At 55.7% G+C, this 24,073-nt stretch overlaps 1 protein-coding gene and 1 pseudogene across 2 annotated transcripts in view, besides 9 other annotated features; both read left to right on the top strand.

Annotated features, from left to right (window-relative positions):
- TNFRSF13B (TNF receptor superfamily member 13B) overlaps positions 1–785 on the top strand; it is a 33,038-nt gene extending 32,253 nt beyond the window's left edge. Inside the window, exon 5 of the mRNA NM_012452.3 lies at positions 69–785. Coding sequence (NP_036584.1) covers positions 69–319 — 251 coding nt within the window. The 3' untranslated portion in view covers positions 320–785. The remainder of the gene's footprint in view (positions 1–68) is intronic.
- Positions 548–1,388: an enhancer, noted in NCBI's record as "H3K4me1 hESC enhancer chr17:16841792-16842632 (GRCh37/hg19 assembly coordinates)". NCBI's record gives its function as "activates a minimal SCP1, AML or CMV promoter by ChIP-STARR-seq in naive H9 embryonic stem cells {active_cell/tissue: H9 hESC(naive)}" and the evidence as "EXISTENCE:reporter gene assay evidence [ECO:0000049][PMID:30033119]".
- Positions 653–702: a silencer, noted in NCBI's record as "silent region_8232". NCBI's record gives its function as "represses an Ori minimal core promoter by ATAC-STARR-seq in GM12878 lymphoblastoid cells {active_cell/tissue: GM12878}" and the evidence as "EXISTENCE:reporter gene assay evidence [ECO:0000049][PMID:35858748]".
- Positions 713–762: a silencer, noted in NCBI's record as "silent region_8231". NCBI's record gives its function as "represses an Ori minimal core promoter by ATAC-STARR-seq in GM12878 lymphoblastoid cells {active_cell/tissue: GM12878}" and the evidence as "EXISTENCE:reporter gene assay evidence [ECO:0000049][PMID:35858748]".
- Positions 2,186–2,686: an enhancer, noted in NCBI's record as "H3K4me1 hESC enhancer chr17:16840494-16840994 (GRCh37/hg19 assembly coordinates)". NCBI's record gives its function as "activates a minimal SCP1, AML or CMV promoter by ChIP-STARR-seq in primed H9 embryonic stem cells {active_cell/tissue: H9 hESC(primed)}" and the evidence as "EXISTENCE:reporter gene assay evidence [ECO:0000049][PMID:30033119]".
- Positions 4,533–4,652: a silencer, noted in NCBI's record as "silent region_8230". NCBI's record gives its function as "represses an Ori minimal core promoter by ATAC-STARR-seq in GM12878 lymphoblastoid cells {active_cell/tissue: GM12878}" and the evidence as "EXISTENCE:reporter gene assay evidence [ECO:0000049][PMID:35858748]".
- Positions 5,093–5,152: an enhancer, noted in NCBI's record as "active region_11773". NCBI's record gives its function as "activates an Ori minimal core promoter by ATAC-STARR-seq in GM12878 lymphoblastoid cells {active_cell/tissue: GM12878}" and the evidence as "EXISTENCE:reporter gene assay evidence [ECO:0000049][PMID:35858748]".
- Positions 5,163–5,212: an enhancer, noted in NCBI's record as "active region_11772". NCBI's record gives its function as "activates an Ori minimal core promoter by ATAC-STARR-seq in GM12878 lymphoblastoid cells {active_cell/tissue: GM12878}" and the evidence as "EXISTENCE:reporter gene assay evidence [ECO:0000049][PMID:35858748]".
- Positions 6,690–17,090, top strand: TBC1D27P (TBC1 domain family member 27, pseudogene; annotated as a pseudogene). Its single transcript, NR_147084.1, has 13 exons — positions 6,690–6,801; positions 6,929–7,083; positions 7,361–7,436; positions 7,613–7,695; positions 9,458–9,557; positions 9,873–10,345; positions 10,547–10,650; positions 12,070–12,188; positions 12,913–12,997; positions 13,377–13,442; positions 13,729–14,020; positions 14,387–14,536; positions 15,485–17,090. The product of NR_147084.1 is annotated as a TBC1 domain family member 27, pseudogene (transcript).
- Positions 14,136–14,821: an enhancer, noted in NCBI's record as "H3K27ac hESC enhancer chr17:16828359-16829044 (GRCh37/hg19 assembly coordinates)". NCBI's record gives its function as "activates a minimal SCP1, AML or CMV promoter by ChIP-STARR-seq in naive H9 embryonic stem cells {active_cell/tissue: H9 hESC(naive)}" and the evidence as "EXISTENCE:reporter gene assay evidence [ECO:0000049][PMID:30033119]".
- Positions 19,058–19,227: an enhancer, noted in NCBI's record as "experimental_47087 CRE fragment used in MPRA reporter constructs". NCBI's record gives its function as "activates a minimal promoter by MPRAs in K562 erythroleukemia cells, with activity observed for both the introgressed and non-introgressed 17:16824038 variant alleles {active_cell/tissue: K562}" and the evidence as "EXISTENCE:reporter gene assay evidence [ECO:0000049][PMID:34662402]".

The following is a 24,073-nucleotide window of genomic DNA, read 5'->3' as shown; positions in this document are numbered from 1 at the left end:
CCACACCGTCACCCCTACCCTAGTGCAGGGCCAGGCCTGGCCCACGCCCTCCACTCTCGCCTCTGCAGATCACGCGATGGAAGCCGGCAGCCCTGTGAGCACATCCCCCGAGCCAGTGGAGACCTGCAGCTTCTGCTTCCCTGAGTGCAGGGCGCCCACGCAGGAGAGCGCAGTCACGCCTGGGACCCCCGACCCCACTTGTGCTGGAAGGTGGGGGTGCCACACCAGGACCACAGTCCTGCAGCCTTGCCCACACATCCCAGACAGTGGCCTTGGCATTGTGTGTGTGCCTGCCCAGGAGGGGGGCCCAGGTGCATAAATGGGGGTCAGGGAGGGAAAGGAGGAGGGAGAGAGATGGAGAGGAGGGGAGAGAGAAAGAGAGGTGGGGAGAGGGGAGAGAGATATGAGGAGAGAGAGACAGAGGAGGCAGAGAGGGAGAGAAACAGAGGAGACAGAGAGGGAGAGAGAGACAGAGGGAGAGAGAGACAGAGGGGAAGAGAGGCAGAGAGGGAAAGAGGCAGAGAAGGAAAGAGACAGGCAGAGAAGGAGAGAGGCAGAGAGGGAGAGAGGCAGAGAGGGAGAGAGGCAGAGAGACAGAGAGGGAGAGAGGGACAGAGAGAGATAGAGCAGGAGGTCGGGGCACTCTGAGTCCCAGTTCCCAGTGCAGCTGTAGGTCGTCATCACCTAACCACACGTGCAATAAAGTCCTCGTGCCTGCTGCTCACAGCCCCCGAGAGCCCCTCCTCCTGGAGAATAAAACCTTTGGCAGCTGCCCTTCCTCACTGCATTGTGGTTGGGTCTTTGATGAACTGAGACATCTTGTCTATCACTTTCCTGGGCATCAGGCTCCACTGAACGCTGCCCCCTTGGTTTGGGAGGCCCTGTGGTGCCCCCATCTCACCAGGCTCTCGAGGAAGCTTGTGACCTTGGGTTGAGCCCTAAGCAGCCGGGTACCCACTGGGGCTCTGCTTCTCTCTTTCACTAAGAGAGAGAAAGAGACCAAAGAAAGGTCTGCAGGGAGGGTGCCTGTGCAAACACCCAGGGAACCAGGGGCTTGAGCCATCTTCATTTCCTTACAGACACACATTCCCTTCCATGCCTCCTTAGTAAGGGCATGACGCACAGTGTGTGTGTGTGTGTGTGTGTGTGTGTGTGCAGGTGTGTGCATGCATATGTGTGTGCATGTATGCGTGTGCATGTACGTATATGTGTGTGCGTGTGGATGTCTGTGCATGTATGTATGTATATGTGTGTGTGTTGTGGGGATGTGCAGTGGACAGGAAGGGGAGGGCAGCTGTAGCTGAAAGCTGCGAGTCTCTCTGGAAAAAACATCAAGATTCCCTGGACCACAGCAAGAGAATGTTTTCATTTGAGTCCACTTTTTGTTAGCATTTAAAGCTATATCTTGAGTAGCATGTAAACCTTAAGTAAACTATTCTTAGAAGCATTTTCACAGTAAGATAAATCCATAATAATGTACATTGAAATTATGCACCCTGCACCTCCTAAAATTATCTTGCAAACCTGCACCCACCAAAGGATCCCGTAGCGCACTTTGGGAGGTGTAGACAGGAAGCCTGGGGCTCCGTCGCTCATTCCATCTTTTCACCAGCTGTGGGCTACCACGCTGCATTGGTTTGCTTGGGCTTCCTTAAAGTACCACAGACTGGGCAGCTTCAGCAACAGAATCTCACTGTCTCACAGTCCTGCAGGCTGTAGGTCCAAGATCAAGGTGTCGGCAGGGAAGGTCCCTTTTCAGGGCGGTGCGGGAAGGCTCTGTTCCAGGCCTCTCTCCTGGCAGGTAGGTGGCCTTCCCGGTGTCTCTTCACCTCGTCTTCCCTCTGTGTGTCTCTGTCCACATTTCCTTTTCTTATAATAACGACACCAGTAGTTAGATTGGGGGCCCCCCTACTGACCTCATTTTTCATTTTAACTTATTTCTATAAGATGATATCTGTAAATAAGATCACATTCTCAAGCACTGGGGCTTAGGACATCAACACAGGAATTTCGGGGGACAAATTCAACCCATCACACAGGCCGTCCTCGAGGCCACCTCTGCGTCATCTTTGTCTACAGGCAAGTTGGCATCTAAAAAGTGTCTGCCCAAGACATGCGTCTGGCCCATGGTACAGCCAGTCCACACGGCCAATGGTGAGATCCGGGTGGCATTGTTTCCTCACCGCCATGCCTCACGCAAGCAGCTGCCTTCTTACAACAAGGTGGACACAAATCCCAGAACTGGCGCAGACGCTTGCTGGCTGTGGGTGAAGTAGCCCCACGTCAGCGTCCTGCAAATATGCGGCTTAGAATGTTACGGCTTGTGTGAAAGATATGCAGATTTCTATTCCTTCCGATCCATGGTTTCAAGTTCTGCTCGTCTGAACCCAAGGGGCTCTGTAGGTGCCTCTGGAACAGCCGGGGTTTTAGGGGTGTTGAAAACACAAGGTACCCAGGCTCAACCCCAGCTTCAATCACACAAATAATCTTGTGGTGGTGTTTCTTTGGTCAGTTTTTAAAATTGATCTTTTGTACTCTTTTTTTTTTTTAGAAAGGGATCCTTTGGTAGAAAGAAAATCTGAAACTCTAAATACTGTCCATTTTATCTATGTATTGTTGGTCCTTTCCCCAAAATATATCCTGATTCCAGCCACTTGTCATGATAGTTTTAATCTGAGCTCTCATCGTTTTTCACCTGGATTACTGTACCAGCCTCCCCACTGGCCTCCCCGCTGCCACCTGGCCCCTCCCCAGGGCTCAGCAAGATTTTTCTGCAAAGGACCTGGTAGTAAGCATCTTGGGCTTCGTGGACCCTGTGGTCTTTGTTGCACCTACTCAGCAGTTACTCAGCTTCGCCACTGCAGCCCTAAGTAGCCACAGACAAGAAGTGAACACAGGGGAGGAACTGTGGCTCCAATAAACCTTTATTCACCATGACAGGAGGGGACTGCATCTGGATTGTGGGCCATAGTTTGCCAACCCCTGCCTGACTTCATGGCAACACTGAAATTCGTATTTATGCTTCTTAAAAACATGTCTAAGCCAAGTGCAGTGGCTCATCCCTGTAATCCCAACACTTCCAGCTGAGCCTGGAGGATTGCTTGGGGACAGGAGGTCCAGATCAGCCTGGGTAACACAGCAGGATCCCATTTCTACAACAAACCATTTCAAAAGCAGCCAGGCATGGGGGCCCACACATGTAGTCCCAGCTACTCAGGAGACTGAGGTGGGAGGATTGCTTGAGCCTGGGAAGTCAAGGCTGTATAGTGAGCTGTGTTTGGGCCACTGCACTTCAGCCTGGGCGACAGAGTGAGACCTCCTCTCTCTCTATTATATATATATACATACACACATATATATATCTGTATATATATATATATATGTGTGTGTGTGTGTGTGAGAGTGTGTGTGTAATGGTTGTCTGCAAGAAACACCTTTAATTAATCACAGCCAACCCTCAAATAATACGCATAGTATAGGACCCTTACAATGCTACACTCCCAACTCTTCTCCCCACCCACCTTTTGTTTTCTTTCCTTCCACGGATTCTGTGACATCTTCCTCTCCTCATTGACTCTGCATGAAGGGGATTCCTGGTGGGGGAAGGGTAGCTGGTGAGAAATGAGGTATCAAGAAACTAGCAAAGCATCTTCTGGCTGTCTGTGGACAGTTCTTGTGTGGTCCCCAGCCTAGTCTCAAGGGTTCTGGGCTGGTCACCCTGCAGCCTCTGTGCTGTGTCACCAGATTCGGGCTCTGAGGGAAGGGCCCTGGGAGGCCCAACAGAGCGGGGTGCCTTGTCTAACATCCCCCCGTTCCTCTGGCTGTGTGGCTCAGGAATAGGCCCAGACAGTGTGTCCAGGTGGTGCCAGGTCACCTCACTGCCCCCTTTGAGATGGGCCCAGAGGGTTTTGTGGGGTGAGCATGAAGCTGGGCACCCAAAGCCTGGGGCCGAGTGCCCCTCCCTGTGTCCCAGAGGAGGGGCCCTGACCTGAGAAGATCCCCAGTGCCTGGCTTATGGGTGCCAATGTGGGGAGGGGTGGCTCTGAGGACTGAAGCGGGTCACTGAAAGAAGACATTGAGCTCCATGGCTCAGGGACCTTGGCAGTAGAGGCCTGGTAAGCAGAGACTAGGACACTGGGACTTGGTCACAAAAAATATGATCAGAAAGGGCATGGCCATCAGAGAGTTGGTCAGGCGGCCTGGTCATTGAGGGACTGTCAGTGAGGACCTGGTCACTGGGTGCTTGGTCAATGGGTCTTGGTCAGTGGGGACCTGGTAAGTGGAGATCTGATTACTGGGGGCTTGGTCATCAAGAGCCTGGTCAGTCAGGACCTGGTCAGTGAGGACCTGGTCAGTGAAGGACTTGTGGGGGGGCATTGGTCAGCAGCGGCCTTGTCGGGGGAGGCTTGGTCAGTGGGGGCCTAGTTAGTGGGGTCCTGGCCAGCCGGCTGCTGGGTGACCTCATGCAGGGGTTTGTCCTTGGAGCTTGCTTGCCGCCATCTGTAGTGGGGATGAGTCACATCACCCCAGAGGGCTACTGGGAGGAGGAGATGAGCAGGTGTGTGGAATCCGGCCCTGCCCAACAGACCTAGCACTTTACACCCTAGCTGAGTCCCCTGCTAAAGAGGGGGCCTGCTCTCTGCCCTCCACCCTCAATTCTCTGCTCCCCGTCCACAGGACTGCCCCACCTAGGGAGGGCTGAGGTTGGGGAACACCTGTGGACACTCTGATGCTGGCCACAGGCCCAGGGCCGGGCGTGACAGTGACAAGGACCTGAGTGCGTACATGAATGGGGCCACCTGGCCCAGCCACAGAAGCAACACACCATATGCACGTGTTCACCCACATATATGTGCACGCTCACATTTACAAACACACTGCATGCACACATGTTGATGCTTCGGGGGTGGAGGACGGTGACTGTGGGCCCTGCTGACCCAGGCGGGGGCCCATTGTGATGGGTGCCGTGATCCCGTAATGTCACTGGTGCTGAGTACCCACCCGCCTACCTGGCTGCCTTCTCTGTGTCTGGAGCTCTTAGAGACAAGATAAACAGCGATGTCTGGTTCTGCTCAGAGGAGGCTTTCTTAAGTGAGAGGCACAGTTGGATCAGCAGACTCAGCTGAGTGTGACCTGCTCTGTTCCCTCCCTGCTGACCTGGGACAGTCGCTACCAGGCAGTGCTGGCCTCTGGGCGGGTGCCGAGGAGGGTCATCCCTGAGCACTCACCAGGTAGGTGCCTGTTCTGCACTGACGGTATAGATGTTCGTCTTGTTGGTCGTCACAGTGACGCTGGTGGGGGTGGGTGCTGTCCCCTAATGTACCCATTCCACAGGTGAGATGTCTAGGGTCAGAGAGGCAGCGACTGGTCCAGAGACCCAGATGTGACCCTGGGCCATGCTCTTAGCCCTGCCCTGTGCTACGCTGGACTCAAGCCCTGACCTCTGTGGCCTCCCTGCCCTGGATTCCAAATCCATCCGGGGTTCCAGCCCCTGATGGGGCAGAGTCTGGCCCTGGAAGAGCCACTGGGACAGAGATCCTATGGGTGAGGTGGAGGGGGTGGTCCTCAGTCCAAGTCTGTGCCCTAAGCTGGGACCCCGCGGGAGGTCTCACCAACTCAGACTTCACATGTGGTCACTGAGGGTCATTGTGGGACCCACTGGACACAGGGGGTCCCTTGTCTGGGAGTGGGGTGAAGAGCCTTCTGCCCTTGGGCAGTTAGGTAGGGGACTTTGAGCACTGCTGCTTTGGGACCTGGGAAGTGGGGACCTGGGCAGCGGGGTCCTCGTCATTGAGAACATGGTCAGTGAGAGATTTGGTCATCATGGGTTGGGTCAGGGGGGCCTGGTCAGCAGAGACTTGGACACTGGGGCTTAGTGAAAATATGATCAGTGGGGAAATAGTCACGGGGCCTGCTCAGTAGGGCCTGGCTAGCAGAGGCCTGGCCAGCTGGCCACTGGATGACCTGACAGGGGGTTTGTCCTTGGAGCCTCTTTGCCTCTATTCATAGTGGGGATGAGTCATAGCATCCCTCAGCACTCGCCAGGTGCAGGTTTTGTGCTGACCTTGTAGATGGCCTTTTCCTTCATCCCCACAGCAACTCCATGGGGCGGATCCTGTCCCCGAATGTAGCCATTCCACAGGTGAGATGTCTAGAGTCAGAGAGGTGATGACTGGCCCAGAGACCCAGATGTGGCCTGGGCCGTGCACTCAGCCCTGCCCTGTGCAGTGCTAGACTCAAGCCCTGACCTTTGCAGCCTCCCTGCCTTAGATCCCACATTTCCCTGGGGTTCTGGACCCTGATGGGGTGGAGGGGGTGATTCTCAGTCCAAGTCTGTGCCCAAAGCTTGGTCCCCACAGGAGGAGGTCTCATCAACTCAGACTTCAGGTGCGGTCACTGATGGTTGCTGTGGGACCCACTGGACACATGGAGTCCTTCGTCTGGGAGTGGGGTGGGGAGGCCTCTGCCCTCGGGCAGTTGTGGAAAATGAAGGAGCTCTAGAGGGCTGCCTGGAGGGTGATGATCGTCCCTCTTGGTCAAAGGGGCTTGGGGACTGGAACCTTCTCTGTCTGATTCTCTAGAGGTCTTGTCTTCCCTTTGTCCCAAGTATTCCCAAGGAAGATGGTCCCCCTGGGTGTTCTCCAGGACCAAGTCCCCAGAATTCTCTTGTTTTTTCCTTGGTGATCCAGGAAAACGAAGCCCCCTCCTGTATTGACAGCTGGGAATTGTGGAGTCCACCGTCCTCCACCTGAGACGAGCACAGGGTCTCCACGAGGACAGAGGCTGCTTTGGACTCAATAGGTCATTTTTCCCCCAAACCAAATGCCCTCCTGCTTAGCTGGTGTTGTTCCTGAAGCGGCTTCACCAGCCAGAGTGAGTGAGAATTGGAGCAGAATGGAGCAGTCACCAGATGTCTTGCTTCCTACAGAAAACTGGGCATCTTCATGGTCCTAGAAGGATCCCAGGAGGCTGATCCTATAGAGACGTCTGGTTCCTGACCCCAACTGCCTCCAGGTGCCTGGAACAGCCCATCGTGGGCCCTTTACCCTCAGCAGGTGGACGCCGTTGGTCCTGCCAGGGCAAGTGTGTGTCTGTCTTAGGGCATTTGGGAACAATGGGCCTCTCTGTCCAGGTCCCCCTGTGTTCAAGTCCTCAGGAAGGAGCCTACTCCTGGTCCAGGGCAGGGACTCTAGAGACTAGGGCATGGGTGGGAATACTGGATTTAACCCTTTGTCTTGGGGAGCAATCGTGGAATGGGGCTCACCTGTCTGGCCAGCATTTGGGGGTCTGGTGGGAGCCGTTCGGGTGTTCTCTGGAGCTCTCGGGTGCTGCAGAGCCTTTGGATGACTTTGTCTTGCAGGATGGAGATGGATGAGCACCCGGATATCCTGCCCACCCAGGGGCAAGGCAACATCATCATTACTAAGTATGAGCAGGTACAGGTCGGGCCACTCCCTTGAGGAAGGTGGGGCCTCACCTCCCCCACTGGTCAGAGCCTGGTCAGAGGGTCCTGGGCTCCCCAGGACCACAGGGTGAAGACAGGCTCTCCATGCCGTCAGGACCCCAAGCCCTTCACCTTGCCCCTGTCTCCCTGGCCCTCGCTGGGTCACAGGGACGCTGAGCTGGGGCAGCAGTGGACACAGAGCATGAGCGTGTTGACATCTGGAAATTCACCAGTCGTCTCTGGGTTGTGTGGTGAGTCCTCTGTCCCCCCACCCACAAGTCTCACCTCAGGGATGGGTTTTGTTTTTAGAAAGGTCTCTCTGAGGTAGGGCAGGCTTCCCTGGCTCAGGACAATCTCCTCTCCAGGGTAAGAACTCCTCTCTGCCTCTCCTGCAAGTCCAGCCTGTGGTCAGGGTTAGGGCAGAGCCTCAAGGCCCATCTAGGGAGCTCGAGAGAGCGGGTGGGACAGAGAGGGGGCTGGGTCAGGCCCGGGGCTTTCAGCACTGAGCTCTCCACATCAGCAGGAGACGAGGGGGCAGCCTAAGGGTCTGGCCCTGTCCCCTTGGGGCCTGCCCTGGTGAGATCTGAGGGTGGTGGCCACAGGGCAAGGGGACACCTGGCCAGGCCTGTGGGCTGTTGTGTAGCAGGTCTCCAAGGGCTCAGGGGGCCCACTGGGGCATCCTATAGGGAGGGGCATGGGGACAGCAAGGGCTGTGACCCTGGGAGGCTGGGGGAGAAGAAGTGTAGGGCCTGTCCTGGGCATCCCACAGTGAGGCCTGGGGGGCAACAGAGCCTGAAGCTGAAGGCCCCAGGAGTGGTGGTGCTGGGAAGGGACCTGGGCCTGGTAAGGGGAGCCCAGCCTGGAGCCGGCCCCTCAGGACTCACAGGATGGAGAGAGGGAGGAGCCTGGGATTGGGGGGCGGTGAGCCGGTGAGACCTGCCACTTCTGGGATGCACCTGAACCAAGCTGGCCCAGGGTAGAGCTGATAGTCTGGGGAGGAAAACAGATGGGGTGGTCAGGGAACAGCGGCTCACCTGGGACCCCTCAGTGGGGGTGACTCAGTCAGTCCCCAAGCTCTACGTGGCCCTCCAGAGACTCTGCTTCCTGCTGGCTCAGTCAGCACCACAGAAGGTGGACGGGAGGCTGAGTCGGGGCAGGCAGGACAGTAGGGGGAGGACAGCCAGGCATCCCATGTCCTGGTTTTTGCAGTGGCTGGGAGGAGGCTGAGGGTTGAAGGCTGACTGCCCTGAGAGCCAGCTGAGGCTGTAGGCAGGGTGGTGGGGCCAGCCCCACTGCCTGCAGGGCCCTTGGTCACCCTTGTCACCCCAGGCTTCTCCCCAGCAGCGCTGAGCAGCCCAGTAAGAGACCTGGGGGGTCTCATACCTAGGCTCTGACAGGAAGAGGGTCCTGGAAGGGCCAGGGTGGCCGGAGAGAGGGTCACAGTCTCTGTGGCGGGCAGGATGGGGGAAGATGAGGAATAGGCAGGGTCTGCAGCCGGGATGCAGGGAGAGGCAGGTGAACGCTGGGAGGTCACACCCTGCAAGGCCTATGGGGAGTGTCAGGTGGGACAGGTCCCAGGTGCGTCCTCAGGGCACTAGGCAGCTCTCAGGCCAGGCTCCCTGGACTCTGGTGGGTGATGTGGTCACTCACGAGGCACTGCTGTCAGTCAGGGCTCAGCCACCCACCCTGGGTGGCACCCATCTCGTCTCAGGACTGGACTTTCTCAGCTCCACAGAGGGTGTCGCCTCCAGCCCAGGAGGAGCAGCCCCATTGTGCAGCCCAAGGCACCCCACAGGCCCCGAGTGGCCCCCTCCAGGCCAGCCTCGAGCTCCCTCTTCTCCAGGGTCCTGGTGCCTCGTGGGCATCAGCTCCACAGGGAGGCCCTTGCCTTCCTTCCCTGTGCCTTCTCCCGGGCTGAGACTTAGGGTGGATGGGGAGGGCTGGGGCCCTCTCATGGATGAGGATGGCTCCTGGCCCAGGTAGGTCGTCAGCTCTGCCTGGGTTGCCTTACAGTGAGACAGAGCTGCCCGTGTCAGTGCCCTGGAGGTGAAGGGAAGAGCCTGTGCCTGCTGCGTGGGAGACTGGTCCAGGGACAGGGAATCAGGAGTGGTTGGTGAGACAGAGGGGGTGGCCTGCGGGCCCGGGCGGTGGTAAGTGGGCCAGGGCTGTCCCTGGGAGGGGCGGCCTTTCCTGACGGACTCTGTTCCCATGAGCATTTGACCAAAACCCAAATCAAGAACCACAGTCTTGGCTCAGAGGTCACTGCCTGTTTGTACCAAGTCCCCAGCTAAGGGCCAGGACCTGACCAAAACTCGGGGTGTCTGTGGCCTGAGGATGGTGTGTCCTGGCATGACCAGTCCAGACCACCAGCTCCAGTTAGTTCAGAGGGTCTCAGCCCCCGGGCTCTGCTCTTTCCTTGCTCCTTCAGGGCCCCAAAGCCCAGGACCCAGCATCCATGGGCCGCTGCCGGAGGCCTGGCAGCTCCGCTAACTCCATCATGGCTCATTTGACAGCAAAGGTGTCAGGAAATAAAATGTACTGACAAGTGGCTGAAGATGCTTGGAGACTGGCCAAAATATAAGAACAGCAAGAAGGTGACATGGCGGTTGGGCCTGGTAGCTCAGGCCTGTAACCCCAGCACTTCGGGAGGCTGAGGTGGGCGGATCACCTGAGGTCAGGAGTTCGAGACCATCCTGGCCAACATGGCGAAACCCCGTCTCTACTAAACATGCAAAAATTAGCTGGGCACGGTGGCGGGCACCTGTAATCCCAGCTACTCAGGAGGCTGAGGCACGAGAATTGCTTGAACCCAGGCAGTGGAGGTTGCAGTGAGCCAAGATCGCACCACTGAACTCCAGCCTGGGCGACAAGAGGGAGACTTCATCTCAAAAGGAAAAGAAGGTAACGTGGGGAGGGAGTGGCCTCCATGACTGCTCTCTGCAGAGTCAGGAGACAGGCACCCATGGCCATGACCTGGCACCATCTGCCTCTCAGCAGATGGGTGGCACTCCATCCCCATCATAGGACAGCAGGCCTGTTTACCGGCTTTCCTCCCCAAGTCACTACACATCCTGTCTCACTGGAGTGTTCTTTTGTCTGTAGCTGTCTCGAAGCAGGTACAAAGGCATTCCCCTGGTGTGAGGCCAGGCGTGGGCACTTCTGCTAGACATTGACAAAGTCAAGTCCCAGAACCCAGGAAATACAAGGTAAGGCCCTCCCACACTCAGCCAGGGCAGGACAAATAGGCCAGGCTGTGTCAGGAGCCCAGGACTCCAGCCGGAAGGAATGTCAAGCCCGGGTTGGGGGTGGGGGCTGTAGTCAGATGCACATACTAGGCACAGACGGTGACACAGGCACCACAGGTGTGCTGGGCTCTGCTGACCCTCCCTGGCTTCAGAAACAAGGCAAAAAAGGAACTTTCTGCAGAAGGAAACCTTCCTCCCTTCCTTCCAGAAGTGCTGACTGTGGGATGACAGCTGTTAGGGGCAGGGAGTCTTTTGTCTGTTCTGAGGCTGCTTCCTCCTCTTGGCCCTGCCCTACAAGTCATGAAGGAGAAGGGCAAGAGGTCCTCCAGGATCACCCACCGCATCAAGGCAGATGTCAGCCACACCCTGCAGAATCACATGATGTTTAGAGTATTCCCGGGCAGCAATAGTCCTGGGCCATGTGCCCATACTCACAGGCATAGGTGCCTCTCGGGGGTTTCAGCACTTCTTGAAAATTCAGTGTTTGTGACCCACCAGGACGTAGTAGGCAGGACTCAAGCTCACTTGCCAGCATGGACACCCAAGCAAGGGGGCGGCTCAAGGGGTCAAACTGAGACAGAAAAGGGTTGAAGCCCAGACTCCTGGTGTCACCTGGATCCGACCACCATGTCTCAGATGAAGAAATGACCTTCCCCTCCTGGCGTTGCCCCAAAGCCCAGGAGCTTGGCAGGGGCGCATGCAGATGGTTCTGGCAGGAGACAGGTTTGACAAGTGGCTGGGGTGCCTGATGGGCCAGGCTCTTGTCATGAAATGAGTTGGCATCCTGAGGAAGCCTCTTCTTCACCAGAAACCAGACAGAGATCCAATTTCCCCTTTGCCTGAACCCCATAGGAGTGCAGCAGACAGGGAGGGGGTCACCCAGGTGGCTGTTCCTGCTCGGTCCCCACTTTCCAGACCATTCCAGGCAGGGAGAGCTGCTGAGCCGACTCCATGGGCTGCCACATGGGGTCTGGACCCAGCCGCCCTCCTGTGCCGGGCAGGCAGCCCTTGAGTCGCCGCAGGACCCTTTGTGTGGTGGTCAGCACCCTGCCGCCTGCCCTCGTGGTGGGTGCACTTCACAGGTGCTGCTCCGGGCCTGGCATAGTGGCCTCCCCAGCCTGCCTAGGGGAAGGAGCATAAACAATCCCTGACTGTGCCCTTTAGGGCCATTTGAGCTTAGACGCTCGCTGCAGGAGTCCCCCAGGCTCTTTGTCAGCTGAGTCATACGTGACCTGCTCAGTCCTCATGCCCACCCCAAATCCCCGGGGGCCTGTGGCAGGTGTCCCCAAGGATCTCTGCCATCTCTGGTGATGTGAGTCTTCCCAGGTGGCCTCAGCCCTCCCAGGTGACATCCTTCCACGGTGACTCTGGCTCTTGCAGGAGGTGGGCTACCACAGGGACCTGAGCCGCAACACTGCCGTCCTCCTTTATCTGCCGGAGGAAGATGCTTTCTGGGTGGCTGGCTCAGCTGCTGGCCGGTGAGAGGCACTCCCTGCAGGGTAGGTGGACAGCTGCCCCCAGGGCCTTACACAGTCATGCCAGGGGACAGCCACTCTGGCCGGTGATCCCAACTTCCAGTCAAGGTGCTTTCCTTGTATCCCAGCTTATTTGGAGCCTCCAGGATGTCCCTGCTGAGGTCCCACAGCAGCCTGGGTCTGGACATGGACCCTTAAACCTCAAGTCAGACACGTTTCATCCCTAACATCAGAGAGCATTGACACCTTTTTCTGGCCACCCTCTGTTGCCCGAAGCCAGCCCCAACTTTGTGCAGGCGCCACTCACCTCCCTGAGTGTCCTCCTGCCTCCCAGCTGGCTGTGCTCCCAGCCACCCTCCCTTCCTATGGATGGGCCGATGAAGCCAAGATGGCAATGTCTGCCCATCCCATGTCCCCCAGCCTGATCCCACATCCAGGAGATGGCCACACAGCCCCCAGCTCCCACCCCGGTCTCCCCGCTAGCACCTGCCTGCCTCGGCCCTACCTCATGGTGTCAAAGGCAGGCTGCCCTCCTGGCACCTCAACCCAGGATGCCGCCGGGCAGCGCTCCCAGCCAGGGCCCTCCTCCCCAGGGCTGAGGCCGCATGATGGGGTCACCAGATGGGAAGGAGGGAAGCCTCGGGGTCCGGGGTCCCCCATCTTGCCCAGCTCTTCCAGCTGATGCCTCCACATCTTGGGCGTGGGCTCTGATGGGGTGATGGGTCGGCAGCTTCTCAGTATTCCACAGCCCAAATACTGCCCAGCTCCGGAAGCTCCTATCACATCAGGAGCAGGTGCTGCACAAGTCCTTCCCAAAGATCATGAGACAGCTGGTGAGTGGATGACACCCTCTGCTCCTCCCCATAAGCCCTGGGCCCCACAGGCCAGGGGAGGCTCTAGTCTCTCACAGAGCTGACAAGAGGCCAAGTCCCAACCACAGCCTGACCTGGGATGGGGATTCTCCAAGGGTTCGGAGTTGGGTTTCCTTTTCCTGCCCTGGGGGAGGCAGAAGGGCTGGGACCAGGGCCAAGCTCTGGCTAAGCAGGGCTAAGGGAAGTATGTCCACTGGGCATCCGTGCATGGGGCAGGTGTTGGAGCCCTGGCCACCGCCCTGGATTCTGCTCCTTGAGGAAGGGTCTACAGAGGGGCCTGGAAGTGGGAGGACTTCAGGGCAGCCCAAGGGGCCCTGAGCACCTCTGCTCCTCCCTTCAGGGCAAGGAAGGGCTATGCATTGAGGGTTCCATGCTGACGAGGCTCCTCCAGTGTTTCCTTGATGGGGTAAGGAGGCACAGGGAGACCCCAGCCCAGGGACCCTCCTGTCCCGCAGTGCCCGGCACCCCCAGCCCAGGGGTCGAGCTCCGCCAGGAGGATTCAGATCCCCTCCAGCCTGCAGGAGGCACAGGCAGTTCCCTACAGGGCACATAAACCAGGCTCTGCCTGAGAGGGGGCATCCCACGGCAGAGGCCAGGGCTCAGGCCCAGCCTCATGGGGAGACTGGGCTAGGACCCAACTTGGAGGGGCCCAGGGAAGCCCCAAGTCCTCAGGAAGCCCCTTCTTCCAGAAGCCACCTCACTGCTGAGATGAGTCCCCCATGAGGAGCTGCAGGACCTTGTCTGACCGCAGCCTCATGGAGGGGTCTCATCCCATGGAAAGGGGTCCTCAGCACTCCAGAGGACTGAAACCCCAATGGGTCCTGCTCAGGCCACCAGCCCCAGCCTGGAAAGGCCAGGTCCTCCCACACCTGCTGTCCCCAAAGAAATCCTTCGGGCTCACCCTGCGACTGTGGGATGTGCTTATCTTGGAGGGCGAGCAGGTACTGACAGCCATGGCGCATGCATCATTCAAAATACACAGGGGTAAGTCCCATGTGCCTGAGGGTGCCCAAGGGAACACGTGGGACAGACCTCCGCTGGCCTGAGGGAAGCGTCCTCACACTGTTACCATGACTCTCTGCTCCATCCGAGCAGAGGGCCTGGCCTGGTGGGCTGGGCAAGGCATGATGACACTGAGTCCACCCCCCAACATGACCCAGATGAAAGGAGTGTGGGGAGCACTTCCCTGCCCGGCCTCCCCTAGCTGTGGCCTTCTGTGCACAGCTCGACCCCGGGGTGGCCAAAAAGGACCCGGCACCACCCAGTGGGAGGTAGCCCTGGTGGAAACGGGGTGCGGGCACTGACCCCTCCCAGGGAACCCTCCTGGCCTGATGCCCGCCCTCTCCCTAGAGCACCTCATGAAGCTTTCCTGGAGCACCGTCTGGGAGTTTCAGGAGCGACTCTCTCAGAGCTGGGCCCTGGAGGACAACTCGGTCCTCAGGAACCTTCAAACCTCTATGAAGGAACTCACAAAAAAACACTGGGACCTGCCATCCCCAGGTGGGCTCCAGCACCAGGTCCCCTCCGGAGTCTCCCTCTGGGGCAGTCAATGGTTGGGGGTGTCCTGGCCCCGCCAGCCCTCCTATCTGGCCTTCCTCCTGCACCTCTTCTTCCTCCTCTTCCTCCTCTACTCTAAGAAAGTCAAATGGGTCTGCCGCTCCTCAGGGCAGGCGCTGAGCGCATGTGTGTGTGTGTGCTGGACATGCTGAGTGGACAGGCAGGGGCCATGGGCAGGAACCACCAACACCCCTCCCGCACTTTCCACACTGTCCTCCTCTCCTCCTCGAAGGGCCCTGAGGGACACTGGGGCAGTCAGACCCAGCTGTGGAAGCCCCCACCCCCACCTTCAAGCAGCCTCAGAGAGCAGCAGGGACCCCTCATTCTTGAGTGCCCCTCCAAGGATGTCAAGACAACAAGCCAGGGAGACAAGAGAATCAGTGTCCCTGACCCAAGAGGATTCAGGCACAGGATAGGGGAAGCCCTGACCCAGAGCCAGAACCAAGAGTTCAGCTGGACATGGGATTGGTCCAGCCCTGGCATGGGGTGAACAGCCTGGAGGGCAGAGGGGAACCCCTGCCCGGGACCTTCTCATGCTCTGTGGGGACAGGCCCCCATGTGTGGTGGCAAGGGGGCTGGGTGACAGTGCAGGTCCCTCCCAGTTGAGTTCTGAGTTGGGGCTGCCGAACAGTCCTGAGGTGAGGGCATGAGGCAGGAAGCCCTGAGCCAGCCTGAACACTGGGGGCCATTTCAGGAGCAACCTGAGGTTCCCTGAAAGCTCCCTGACCCCAGACTGCACACAGTCCTCGCCCTGAGATCAGCAGCCTGCGGGGGCATACTCAGTGTCAGGGACCCCGAGGACTCCAGAGACCCAGGCCTGTGGGGCCCAGCCCTGAAGGGACCCGATGAGCTTGGTGAAGATGCCGACCACGTCTGTTTCTTTTTTTTCAGGAGAACTCGAGAGAGGGTCCTCGAGGGTGTCTCCTGGCATTAGGCCCCTCTGTGAGGGGGACAGATTGGCCCTGCCCAGCCCACCAGCTCAGCTCCAGGGGCTCATGCCATCAGCCCCCCAGGACAAAAGCCTTGTCCTCCCCCAGCCTGGCCTGACAGGGTTGTCTCCATGGCGGAGGCCAAGGCCCAGCAGCACGAAGGGGCTTCCCCAGAACCCAGGGCAGCAGGCTGCTCTCTGGGTGGCCCAGAGGATCAAGATGTGGCCACCCTGTTTCCCGGTGAGGTCAGGCCTCGTATTACATAAAAATACCTGTGCTGGGACTCTATGCCACACCTCCACACAGACCTGGATGCTGGGATCCATGGTTTCCTTACTACAATTTTGAACAGGGCTACTGGGCCCCTGTCACTTCAACATGTTACCTGGACAGCCCTGCAACCACACGACGGGCCTGGCCCAGCAAGCCCACTGGGACCCCGACACCAGGCCCTGCCCAGGCTTATGACAGAGGAGGCAGGTCAGGAGACACCCCAGCAACAAGGCAGCACCTGCCTGCGATGCCCCTCAGTAGAAGAACGTGGCATGGAAGGAGCCCAGGTGGCACACGCCCAGCTGCGTCGCAGCCCCAGATGGCTGCTGGACCTTGGTTCTGGGCCTTGGAAAATCCCATTCAGCGGGGCTTGGTCCCATCAAGGCCTCTGGAGGGAAGGCTAAGCATAGGGTTCCTGCAGCCCCAGCCAGCCAGCCAGCCAGCAGCATGCCCTGGGGCCTCTGACCCCACCTGTGAGTCCCAGGCCCAGAGGTCCCTGGCTTCAACTCGAGTCCTAGGAAGAGAGAGGCACCAGAGGCACCACAGGCTCCCAGGGTGACCACAGAGGGGACCAGGGCACTGTGAGCCCTGATGCTGTAAGGATTCACATCAGAGAACCTGGGCAAGACGGGAGACCGTGCAGTAATGAGGATGTGGAGGGCTGGCTCAATGCGGCCAACAGCTGTGAACACTGCTGCCTCTTCCCAGCCTCATCACTGCAGTGCAGGCAGTCTGATCTCTGGAGCCCAGCCCAAAAGTGTCCTGAGTGCCCCGGCTTCACATGCCAATATGCCACCTGGAGGCTTCAAGGCCCTGCCTGCTGCACGCCCGCCTCACCATTGCTGAGCACCCCATCTGATGATGAGAGACTTGCTGTGGATTCCTGGGCCGGCACCATTTCCCAGGAGGACCAGCGGGCTGCCTGTGGGCAGGCCGCCCACACTGTGGAGGGGGCTGAGATCAGCCTTCACTGTAGGAAGCCCCTACCTGGACACAGACTTGCCGGCTCTACCTATCGCCATCATGGCAGCCTACATGGCATTACTTGTGACCAGGGTGCCCCATCCAGGTCGGTCTGCCCTGGCTGCTGTTTTCCCTCCTGCCACCCTCTCTTTGACTGCTTGTGTCAATAAAAGGAGAACTGGCCAGTTTTCAGAATAAAGTGTAGCTTTATTATGACATAGGAGAGATTACAAAGCATTAGGGGAGGAGGAGGAGGAGCAGTGACACAGCTGCTCATAATGAGAGGGGAAAGGAAAGGGTAAACATCTTGGTAAATAAAGTCTCCAACCACAGCACAGTCATTGGAATTTTTTTCTTAATTAATTTTTATTTTCAAACTTGTAGTCAATGAAACAGTCACTTAAATTGTCAAAAGAACAGCAATTTTACAAATGAAAAGCATACACGCCAAGCCATATCATGAACCAAAATAAAATTTGAAGGCCCTTCACCTCCCCTGTGACCATCTAAATGTGTCACACACATTTGAACCAGACTGACTCCATCTTGGATAAGGTCTAGGTAAGGTAAGTCTGACACCTACTGGGCTGCATTTGCAGAAGGTTACCCATACTTAGTCATAGGATAAGACAGGAGGTCAGCACAAGATACAGGTCACAAAGACCTTGCTGATAAAATAGGATGCAGTAAAGAAGCTGGCCAAAACCCACCAAAACCAAGATGGGGATGAAAGTGACCTCTGGTTGTCCTCTTGCTCATTATACACTAATTACAATGCATTGGCATGCTAAAAGGTACTCCCACCAGGGCCATGACAGTTTACAAATGCCATGGCAACATCCAGAAGTTACTCTGCATGGTCTTGTCAATGAAAAAGAGTCAAACTCTATAAAATGTTTGAAGAGATTTATTCTGTGCCAAATATGAGTGACCATGGTCCGGGACACAGCCCTCAGGAGATCGTGAGAACATGTACCAAGGTGGTCGTGGTGCAGCTTGGTTTTATACATTTTAGAGAGACTTGAGACTTCAATCAAGCATATTTAAGAAATAAATTGGTTTGCCTCCAGGTAGCAGTCTTCAGAGAGAGGTTATAAAATGTTTCTTATCAGACTTTAGGTCTGTGCTGATGTTAATGCTGGGGAGGTATTTTGATGGTTATTTCTTGATTATATGCTATACAAGGGTCGATTATTCATGCCTCCCCTTTTTAGACCATACAGGGTAACTTCCTGACGTCACCATGGCATTTGTAATGTCACGGTGCTGGTGGGAATGTAGCAGTGAGGACGACCAGAGGTCACTCTTGTCGCCATCTTGGTTTTGGTGGGTTTTGGCTGGCTTCTTTACTGCAACTTGTTTTTATCAGCAAGGTTTTATGACTTGTATCTTGTGCTGACCTCCTATCTCATCCTGTGACTTAGAATGCCCTAACTGTCTGGGAATGCAGCCTAGTAGGTCTCAGTCTTATTTCACCCAGCCTCTATTCAAGATGGAGTTGCACCGGTTCCAGCGCCTCTGACAAGAGTAACAAAGTTGCTGCATTTTAAAATTCTATACATGCAGCTTTCGTCCTGCAGACTATTCAGCAAGATAGAAACCAAAAGCTTGTACCTCTTCTAAGGAATACTTCCACTCAACAAAGACTGTTCTGCAGTAACCTTTAATTAATGCAACTAACAGGAAATAAGACTATAAAACACTAGACAATTAAAATTTAGGAACGTTTTCTGCTTTTTGAACAACTGTATGCTATGGCTACTTAAAAACACTTTAAACAATCACATCCGAAATCTTATTACTTATCTCAACTGAAGCAGTAAGTGCACAATTTCAAAAATGGCCCTACTGCAGAACGTCACAGCTAAGTTTTAATCACATGCGGAGAAGGCTGTGGACCATGGGGAGAGGGCCGGGTGCTTCTCAGCTCACACTCTGGGGTAGGTGATTAACACAAAGGCTGAGGGGCATCCAGTTTGGCTCTGGGTTCATTTACATGAGGAGGTTGGAACAGCAACTGCTGACACCAATACCCAGCATAGTGCAAAGCTGAGGGACAGAAATATCGAGTCATCTGGCCAAAACAAAAGACAAACTAGCACCAGAGACCGCAGCCAACCCAGGCTAATGCCATATCTTTGCTCAGTCCTGGGTGTGTGAAAGAGCCCTGATTTGGTTCTGATGGAGCACAGCCTTCTGGCCAGGAGACATGCCCCTGCCATGTGGGTGAGGAAGGCTTCCCACTGTCACAAGCAGTCCGTGAGCATGGCGGTTCCCCACACGTGGCTGTCCCCATTTACCATGCTGCCCACACTCCCTGGGCTCAGGGGCCAGACAGAGTGGAAGAGCTGGGGAGATCCAAGCTGATGTCCTAGAAAAGGTCTATGGTGGTGGAGACTCCACCGGTAGCAGAGAGAACAATGCACACCTAGGGCCTGGCGGCGCAGCCCTGAGACTGATGAGAAGCGCTGGGAAGGCCAGCCCACCAGGCTGTTCAACTCAGTGAACCACCAAAACAGGTCTTTGTCCTCTAAAAGACTCCAAGTTAAAATTAACCGGTAGGATATCGCCTACAACTAGCAGTGCCAGCCCAGAGGCCACAGGTAACCTACAGGCAGCCAGGTGCCCTGTTACCTAAGTATAGGTGTTCTCAGAGCACGGCATTTGAACCAGCCTCATCAGCATCGGCTGGGAACTGATTAAGAGTGAAGAAGCCCCTGCCCCCCACAGACCTGCTGAATCAGAAACGCCAGCACGGGCTTTAGGAAGGCCTGCAAGTGACCAGCCCACACTCATCTGAGAATCACCCTCAGTCTCTCTGCCTGTATGGACGGACTTCAGCTGCAGGTCCCTCACCCTGGGATCTCCACCGTGAGGAGTGGGGAGGAGCCAATCTCGGCTGAAGTCATTCAGTCCTAGCCTACCACCTCCAGCCCTAAAAGCTGCCCCCACCAACTATCAACGCCACACACCTCTGAGTACCTCAGGAGGGCGCCACCCTGGGGCCAGGCTGTGGGACTATGCTGCAGGAGAAGCCAAGGTCCCATGAGACTCCAAGAGAAACTTTGAAAACAGAAGGCCTGGATTGGCATGAAGAGAAGATCTAACCCAGGCTCAAGGCAGCACTGGGAAACAAACTGCTCTATACCGCATCCCAGCTCTCTGGCTATTTCAGAGCAACCATCAGGCTGGGCAGGGATGGCTCATGCCTGTAATCCTAGCTCTTCGGGAGGCCGATGTGGGTGGGTCACTTGAGGCCAGGAGTTTGAGGCCAGCCTGGCCAACATGGTGAAACCCTGTTTTTACTAAAAAATTAGCTGGGCATGGTAGCATACTCCTGTATTCCCAGCTACTTGGGTGAGCTGAGATCACACCACTGCACTCCAGCCTGGGTGACAGAGCGAGATTCTGTCTCCAAAAAAAAAAAAAAAATCTCCTTTTGGAGACTCCCCAAGGGGAAGGAGACTGTTGGGAAGTTAGGCTGTGTTTAGGGGATGTTCAGAAGCCTCAGGCCTGGTAATCTGGGGGACTCTAGAACCACCAGGGCAGGCAGGAGCCTCAAAGCGCAAACCTAAGAGGGCCCCAAGAGCTTGCTGTTCACTGTGACGGGTCACAGAGGGCCACCTGCCATGCGGCTGTAACTATTAATACTGCCTCTCCTCTTAAAAATACACTAGGAAGAGCCTCTCTGAAGTCATTAGTTATGGTGTTTCTTATTGGAAAAAAGACGAGAATAAAATCTACAAAGAAATCAAATGAGTGGCCCAAACTCTATTCTGCACGAGTGCACACTCGCTTTGCTTTCCCTTAGAGGAAAACATCCTGCTCTGACTCCTGGATGGGCGCGGGTGCAGGAGGGTGAAGAGCGCGGAGCCCCCCTTTGAAGTGTGTGGGTAGAGCAAGTCTAGGGCTGCAATGAGGAGTGAGTGGTTTTATGGGATGATAGGACTTTTTTTTTTTTTTGAGATGGAGTCTCGCTCTGTCGCCCACGCTGGAGTGCAATGGTGCGATCTCGGCTCACTGCAAGCTCCACCTCCCGGGTTCACGCCATTCTCCTGCCTCAGCCTCCTGGGTACCTGGGACTACAGGCACCCACCACCACGCCTGGCTAATTTTTTTTGTATTTTTAGTAGAGATGGAGTTTCACCATGTTAGCCAGGATGGTCTTGATTTCCTGACCTCGTGATCCACCCGCCTCGACCTTCCAAAGTGCTGGGATTACAGGCGTGAGCCACCGCGCCCAGCAAATTTTTTTTTTTTTTTTTTTTTTTTTTTTTAGTAGAGACAGGGTTTCACCATGTTGGCCAGGCTGGTCTCAAACTTCTGACCTCAGGCGATCCGCCCACCTCGACCTCCCAAAATGCTGGGATTACAGGTGAGCCACCACCCCGGCCAGACAGCCAGATGATAGAACTTTTATGGTGTTTACCCTTTCACTCTGCAGAGGCATCTGACCAGGCCAAACAATAGAACTTTTATGATGTTTACCCTTTCACTCCGCAGAGGCATCTGACCACTTCTCACCACCTTCATGCCTGCTTCAAGCCACTCTCATCTCTCCCTGGGGTCATTGCAATTCAATTCTAATGGGTCTCCCAATTTCCCAGTGGTTGCCCCCGTAGCTGCTCTCAGCACTGCAGCTGGAGGGAGGCACCCTGTGAACCCTGAGTCAGATCATGCCCCTTCCCCTCAAAACCCTTCCCTACAGCACCCACCCTACTGTGGCAAAGCCAAGGACCTCGAAAAGCACCCAACCCCCCATAATCTTGACCTCCTCCCACCCATCTCCCTTACCCCATTTTTTCCCGCTCTCATTGACTTCTTTGCTGTCCCCACAACTGGCCAGGCTCCCACCTCAGGGCCTGGCTCTGTGCCATCCACTTGCAATGTTCTCAGGGCCCTCCACGCCTTCTGCAGCTCCTTGCTCAATTGGCCCCTTCTCATTGACTCTTCTTGACCTCCCCACTTGAAACTTCAAATCTCCCCAATCCTGCTCCTTGTTCCCCAGGTGCCCTGGGTCTGGAAAATGCTATGTGGGAGTGGATGCTTCTAGAAGCGTACGGGCCAAGGCTCATGGCTGGATAAGCATCTGAGGTGCCACAGCCCAAATGGACATTTCCTGACCTTGTTATATGAATTAAACTTTCAAAAAGTTATTATGATATAACTTACATCTTACAGATGTAAGATGAAGACTTACATCTGCTGTGAGTGCACAGCTCCAAAGACTTACAGATGGAACTCGCCAGCCCCCAGATCATGAAGCAGAACATGCCCAGGCCCTCCCAGCACTGCCCCTGCAACCACGGCCTGACTCTGTAGGCCAGCCTCCTGTGCTTTTTACACAGAGGGAATGATAACCTCCTCAGTTTTTTAAAATGAACTTTTACTTTTACTCTTTGAATGACTTTAAATTTACAGAAAAATTAAACAGATACGATAGAGTTCGCCTGTGCTTTCCATCCAACTCTCCTTAAGAATGACATTTTGCAAACCCCGTCTCTACTAAAAATACAAAAAATTAGCCGGGCGGGGTGGCGGGCGCCTGTAGTCCCAGCTACTCAGGAGGTTGAGGCAGCAGAATGGCAGGAACCTGGCAGGCGGAGCTTGCAGTGAGCTGAGATCACGCCACTGCACTCCAGCTTGGACAACAGAGCGAGACTCCGTCTCAAAAAAAAAAAAAAAGAATGACATTCTGCATAACCCTGGCACATCTGTCAAAACTAGAAATTTAGGCCAGGCATGGTGGCTCATGCCTGTATCCCAGCATTTTGGGAGGCCAAGGTGGGAGGATTATTTGAGGCCAGGAGTTCAAGACCAACCTGGGCAACACAGCGAGACCCCATCTCTACAAAACATACTAAAAAAAAAACCCCAAAACAATACAATCAGCTGGGCATGGTGGTGCGTGCCTGTGGTCCCAACTACTCAGGAGGCTGGGGTGGGAGGATTCCTCGAGCCCAGGAAGTCAAGGCTGCAGTGAGCTACAACTGCACCACTGCACTGAGCTACAACTGCACCACTGCACTGCAGTCCGGGTGACAGAGCAAGACCCGGTCTCAAAAAAACAAAGAGGAAAGGAAAAGGAAAAAGGAAAGGAAAGAAAAGGAAAAAAGAAGCAAACGGAGAATGAGGCATGAGCCTCTCGTGGGATTTATTCCTGCTGTTTACGGCTGGAAACCCAAGGGCAACACTGTCCAGGGAAACACTGAGGCCCAGCTGACGACACGTGCTGGGCTCCAGAGTCTGCACCTTCACCTCAAAGAGGCTTTAGCCTCTCATCTCTCTCCTCTTCTCATCCAGGCTGTCTCTACACCAGCAGCGCTCAACCAAGATGCTTCTGCCCTCACCATCAAGAGACAGGTAGCCGTGCCTGGGGACACTGGGGTTGTCTCAATGACAATGGGGGGGATAGGGAGGTGATCTACTGGCATCTAATGAGTAGAGTCCAGGGATGCTGCCAACCATCCTAGGACGCACAGGACAGCCCCAACACAAAGCTGATGTGCTACTCCATCCCCTTTCACAACTGGACCACTCCTCCCTGGGGTAATTATGAGACTTCGCACAACCACAAGCAAAATCCATTTGTTTCACAAGGAACACACTGGAGACAGCACCCAGTCTGAGAACTCCATGCTACAGAAGGGTTTTGTTTTTGAAAACCGAAACTACAGAATAAATATCCAGAGAGAGAGAGGGAAACTTCACCATATGGGTTCAAATGAGCAACCTGAGTATTCTCGGCTCCTGGTGGAAAGGGAGGTGCTAATCTCAGGGAAGCCCATCTCCTGTGGCACCTGCCACAGCCTGGTTTTGAGCTGCTCCTTCCACTCCTGGCAAAAGAGGAGCAGATACTTGGGGAGGAGCAGATACTTGGGCAGCCCCATGACTAACTGGGCAGCCAAGACCAAGACTCTTATGCACGCAGATGCCCCCTGGTGGCTCCCCCTCCACCAATGCTGGAGGAAGCCGGCCACCGGCAACTGCTCCCAGACTCAGGGGCCTGAACTCCTCCTCTTCTCTCACCTGGCTGGGAACTGTGCCAGCTGAGGGCCTCAGAGCGGGCTGTGATGAGTTTCTGAGCGTCAGAGCCCTCGAATGGGGCTCCCAGCCCTATGCTTTGGCTTCCCCGGCTGTAGGAAACCTGTGGGACACAAGGACAGGTCACTGGATTCAGGATGAGATGAACTGGGTTCCAGTCCTGACGCTGTCCTGACTGGCTGTGTGACCTGGAGCAAGTCACTTAACATCTCTGAACCTCACTCTCCTACCCACTGAAATGAGGAAGTCAATGTGTTGAGCAGGGTTTGGT

This window comes from Homo sapiens, chromosome 17 (assembly GCF_000001405.40).
Source record: "Homo sapiens chromosome 17, GRCh38.p14 Primary Assembly".
Lineage (NCBI taxonomy): Eukaryota > Metazoa > Chordata > Mammalia > Primates > Hominidae > Homo > Homo sapiens.
This window is presented reverse-complemented; position numbering and strand designations above follow the sequence as displayed.